Raw genomic sequence first — 6,308 nt, forward strand, 5'->3', positions numbered from 1 at the left:
GATATTTATTTCTAGTTTTATGCCTTAGATAATCCACCCAAGTTTAAAAGTTGAGAGTAAAATTATTGTATTGTGGTGATTTACTGCAAAAAAGGATTTGTGTCACCTTTGGGCATCTCAGATTGATAGAGTCTTGAGCAGAGTTACTGAAAGATCCTGCGCTATTGTAGTGTGACTTTTATGGACACATTTCAATAATTTTTGAATTATCTAATCAGCTTTCATGAATCAACCAGATTAAGGATTCTTTAACACCTGGCACTTAAAAAGCACAAGGAAAATCTTTATGTTGGGTGCTAGATTAAAAGAATATTGAAATGGAAATCATTGTCCAGTTTTCTTTACTCATTACTGCTGGCCTCTGAAAACAATAGCTTCTTCTCAGAAGGAATGTGCCTACGGCACATTGATGGCAATGGTGTCTGCTCCAGAACAAGGTTGAGTTCTGAGAGTGCCTGGCAAGCAGGAGAAGGACTTCTCTGGATTTCATTCTCTGGGGTAGATGCAGTACTACCCATAATAACCCTGCTCTACGATTATATAGCAGCAATCTGAGTTATGTGCACCTGTTAGAGTTTTATTGCTGATTATAAAACCACCTTCTAAGGAGGACCAAAACAAGACAACAATCGTCCATGAATGACAAAAGTTTCAGGGCAGCCATAGCCAAAGACACAATTGACAAGGAAACTTGTTACTTCCGTGGCACACAATAATTTAATATAAACAATTATAATTATTACTGATAACGGACACTGAACCATATCAGAATTTTAGTAGTTTCCCATAATTTTGGAACACATACCAATAACATATTTATACAAATACAGCCCAAAGAAAACCAAATGCTATTTCATATTTGACAATGCTTCGTGTATAATTTTTATAGAAAATAAGCCAAATATTTCATTTTTGGACTTTAGGGCACCTAATATCTTAAAGGACTAATTAGGTGAGAAAAAGACATAATTTATAATTTGATTTTGGAAAGTTTGTCAAATATCAAAGGTTTAAAACACTTGATATCACAAAGTAGGATCACAGGTTACTGTAAAATAAGTTATTCATTTAACCAAAGTGATAACCCAAGGATTTCAAAAAAAGGTGAAAACCTTCATTATTTGAGAAAGGATACTTAATTTTCCAAACAATAAGCACTAATAAAAACAGCATAAAACCAATTAAATTTGTTTTCCAAAATTTTATAAACAATCTATAAAATTGTAATCTTGACCATAAGATATAACTTCCATAAGCCTTTTATAACCTTTATAGCCTTTATTAAGGAATCAGTTAATGCTTCAAGAAAACCTTGTTAATCTGACACAGGGGCTCATTTGCTGGTTTTGCATCAGTGTGCCTTTGACATTAATGGTTAATTTATAGAGAAACTTTAACTTATTTTATCTCTCAAAATCAGTCCTTACAGTCTCACATGCCCACAACTCTTCCGTGATAGTCCCTGGGCCTTAAAGAGTTGAATAGCTTTAATTTCTGGCCTTATGTCTCAGGAATGCAGTTTATTTTTATTGATCTCTTCTACAGAGCCTGAAGATGAGGCTTTAATTCCTGTCAGGGTTTAAGATTTAGCAGGGCTTAGTGTACTTTTTAGATGCAGGAGTCCAAGCCTTGTAACTTAACGTCACAAGGACTTTAAAAGCACATACAGAAAGATACACACATGTAATAACTTTAATTAAAAATTTTTAATTTTTTTCTAAGGAAACCCAAACTGAATAATAATGGGATAGGAATTATTTTGATAAAACTTAAAAAACTGTTAGGCTAGTTACCAAAAGGCAAAAGAAAAGACCTTTGCCGTGCACAGAACATTATGTTGGAAAATAATTTCCTTTAGACCTTTAAGGAAACACTGTTAGCATCAGGTCACAACAAATAGAACTTGAGGGGAAAAAAAACTTATATAAGCTGAAAATGAGTTAAAGGAGAGTGTTACTATTTTGTGCCTTTTAAAGGGGAAGAGGAAACCAAACTGCAAGATGCAAATAAAAGGTGAAATTTTGGTTAAAAAATTAATATCTCTTATAATTTATTAAGAGTAAATCAATCCCTTAAGAAAATTCTATTCTTCTAATCAATTCTTTAGTGTATAAGCGTTTTTTTCTTTACATCAAACGTAATCTCTAGAAAGAACATGATGATTCCCCTTTAATTGTAGACAGCATGATCAAATAAAAGTGTTTTTGTTTGTTTGTTAGTTTTTAATAACCTCTTATCATGACTTACACAGACCATTCATGACAAGCTTGGACTTGGACTTTTTGGTTTGTCCTGAACATCCCTCTTTCTTAAACAACCAGTCATTTTATTCTAGGACTAACTTTACCATACAAGATTTTTTCTTATATAAAATTATATCTCTTGAAGCTTTCTTACAAAAAAAAAAAACCCTCTTTATTTCTATTCTTTCATTGCTCTTATTTCCTGGTTCCTTTTCCTTTGTTTTATACCTAATCTTTAAATAAGCTTTGAATGTTAAAATAGTTGTTCACATTTTTAAAAAGGATACTTTTTTATAAAAGAATGTTTTCCTATATTTTATTGGAAAATACCTAAAAATGAAATTTCTATTATTTAATTTAATACAACTTTAGATTCTAAATTATGACAAATTTGTCTACAAGTATTATCCCATTACATTTACCTAATTATTTTATTTTAATCACTTACCTAGATTATATTGAAAACTGTGATAGTCATTATTTAAAATTCTGAAACTCACCATTGCGAAATTCTGAGACAATGAAAAAGATATGACCTAACTGACCCGATTTTGCTTCTAACCTCCATTCTGTCCTTGTACATTCCTGGTGTAGACTGAACTAACTTTGGGAGGAAAATAGTTTATAGTTTAGCTTTGAAACAAAGATGCTAACAGTCCCTTCCCAAAACAAACCTTACTGCCTGTGCACTAGACTGCCAAAAGCTGCAAGATTAGAAGTTATGGTAATCTTACTGAATTAAAGATGTAGCTATTTTTATTAAACCAATATCAATATCTTATTTATTAAAGATTACACAAGCAAAGATCATTGTGTCTTGGGCTGGGTTTATAGTTTTGTAACCACTATGCCATTTTGACACCTCATAATATTTAGCAGGGATAAGTATAAAATTTTTTGATTAATAAATGCAAACAAAAATGTATGCTGACAATTCTGAAGACATTTCTAAACTATTATAATTTACCAATTATTTTAAAGCTAGCTTATTTATTAAAGATTTTATTTGTTACATAAACTTGAAAAATAATTTGACTAGTCTTTCTTTTTTCCTGATAAAGTATCAGACTCAAACACTTATTTTCTTAAGCCAATTATTTAGAGCTCTTTTATATAGTTTCAGTAGTGAAACATTGTGTACACAACACATAAATGCATAGCTGTATTAGGCATGCCAATGGAAGTACAACTTATAGTTCATAAAGACTTTTTTTCCTATCTTAGATTTTCAGATTCTTGATAATGTGTTTCACAAACCTATGCAGTTGTCAGCTAAATATCCTTAAACTTGCATATTAAAGAAAACTCAGGTGAAATTTAAATAGCAATATTTACATCATAAGGTGTAGAGAAACTCTGTTGGTGCTAGACGGAGATTAAAGATGGATGCCAAATCACATAATATTATAGAAATCAGTCATAGGATTGTATAAGGAGACCAATTTATTTAGATAGGGACTACCTATCTTTTAACTGGACTTCTGAACTCTGGGAAGAGCCCACACTGAATCCTGGATCTTGAATAAGGGAGAATTAGGATAGACCACATGATGTTTTTACAGTGCACTTAAAACAATATTTTTTTAGACAAAGAGATTTTTAAGTGTCTAATCTACACTCTTCCTTAAAAATGCGAGAGTAGCCTCTGTGGCATTAACTATTTTAGTCAAGAAATCAGGTGACACAATGCAAAAGCAAGCAGTTTAAGAGCTCAGACAAACTTGTCTGTTTACGCTTTTGGGATTCTATAAGGAAAAACAGAGTTTCTCCCCAAAAGGGAACTGGTGCCTTCTCTATTTTCTTTAAGGAACTCCAGGCAGTTATAAACTATTTTAGGTCCATCATGCAGCAGAGGGTGCAAGAGAAAGGAGAGACAGCAGAAGTCAACAAAGAAAACAGAATTCAGTCAACAGAGAAGAAAAATACTTTTGCTTAAAAAAAAAAGACAAGGTCCTAGGAGAGAGAAAAAATACAACAACATGAAGGCCTTTTACATACAAACACATACACATACACAGACGTTAGCTTTTAATTAAGCTGACTTTTAACCATTTGAGCTCCTTTTTAAAAAATTATTTTTAAATCTCATTACCATATTTCAGCTAGGACAAATTGTTTCTATTTCAGAAGGAGCAAGTATCAAATCAGAATGGGCTTGATTTTGGAACCAAACCCAGACTGTTGTGGTAGAAAAAAAGAAGGCAGAACTTTAGCTATTGAACTGCAGCATGGGAGCGACTGCCATTGCTCTTTCAGTTTGACTTGGCTAGCAAAAAGAGGCCTTGCTGAAAGGTGACAACGTGCTGGCGGCCCTCACTCGCTCTCAGCGCTTCCTCGGCCTCCGCGTCCACTCTGGCCATGCTTGAGGAGCCCTTCAGCGCCACTGCACTGTAGGGGCCCCTCTCTGAGCTGGCCAAGGCAGGAGCCAGCTCCCTCTGCTTGCAGGGAGGTGTGGAGGGAGAGGCCCAGGCAGGAACCGCGGCTGCACCTGCACTCACGGGCCAGGGCGAGTTCTGGGTGGGTGTGGGATCAGCGGGCCCCGCACTCAGAGTGGCTGGCTGCCACTGCCGGCCCCGGGCAGTGAGGGGCTTAGCACCTGGGCCAGCAGCTGTGGAGGGGGCACCGGGTCCCCCAGTACTGCCAGCCGCCCGCGCCACACTCAAATTTTCACTGGGCCTCAGCTGCCTCCTTGCAGGGCAGGGCCTGGGACCTGCAGCCTGCCATGCCCAAGTCCCCAGTCATGGTGGGCTCCTGCACGGCCCAGGCCTCCCTGAGGGGCGCCACCCCCTGCTCCGTGGTGCCCAGTCCCATTGACCGCCCAGGGGCTGGGGAGTGTGGGCGTGCAGCGTGGGACTGGTGGGCAGCTCCTCCCACGGCCCTGGCACAGGATCCACTGGGCAAAGCCAGCTGAGGTCCTGAGTCAAGTGGGGACTTGGAGAACTTTTATGTCTAGCTGCAGGACTCTGTGTCTAGCTTGGGGTTTGTGGACGCACCAATCAGCACTCTGTATCTAGCTAATCTGGTGGGGACTTGGAGAACTTTTGTCTAGCTAAAGGATTGTAAATGCACCAATCAGCACTCTGTGTCTAGCTCAAGGTTTGTAAATACACCAATCAGCACCCTGTCAAAATGGACCAATCAGCTCTCTGTAAAATGGACCAATCAGCAGGCTGTGGGTGGGGCCGGATAAGGGAATAAAAGCAGGCTGCCTAAGCCAGCAGGGGCAACCTGTGTGGGTCCCCTTCCACACTGTGGAAGGTTTGTTCTTTTGCTCTTCGCAATAAGTCTTGCTGCTGCTGACTCGTTGGGTCCGCACTGCCTTTATGAGCTGTTAACGCTCACTGTGAAGGTGTGAGACCATGAACCCACTGGGAGGAATGAACAACTCCAGATGGGAAGAACAAACAACTCCAGACGCACCGCCTTAAGAGCTGTAACACTCACCACGAAGGTCTGCAGCTTCACTCCTAAAGGCAGTGAGACCACGAACCCACCACAAGGAAGAAACTCCGAACACATCCGAACACCAGAAGGAAAAAACACCAGAAATACCATCTTTGAGAACTGTAACACTCACTGCAAGGGTCCGTGGCTTCATTCTTGAAGTCAGTGAGACCATGAACCCACCAATTCCGGACACATTGCTAGGTGAATAAAGCCTCTTTCGTAGTAAAAATCAAAATTTTTTCCTTTTGCTGGTCATTTTTCTCCCCAACCACACCACCTTTGTGTGTGTGTTTGTGAGAATTTAGCCACTTTGGAGGCCTTGTTTCCCATAATTTGGAACTTTCCAACTCAAATAAAGTTGTTCAAATCCAATGGGAAAAAGACCGAGGAAACAACAAATACAAAAACAACAACAACCAAAAAACAGTTCAGCAAAACAAACGATCACATAACTTTTATGATTACTGAGTACTCTAATGGTAAGGAGAAATTAAGACCAGCTGGTGGTTAAGCTTTACCCAAGGGAGTTCAGTTACTTACCTAGGGATATGTCTCAGGCTGAAGACCACACTGTACCATCCTAGAAGCAGGGGGAAAAAAAAAAAAAATCAAACATGT

This window comes from Homo sapiens, chromosome 4 (genome assembly GCF_000001405.40).
Source record: "Homo sapiens chromosome 4, GRCh38.p14 Primary Assembly".
Classification (NCBI taxonomy): Eukaryota; Metazoa; Chordata; class Mammalia; order Primates; family Hominidae; genus Homo; species Homo sapiens.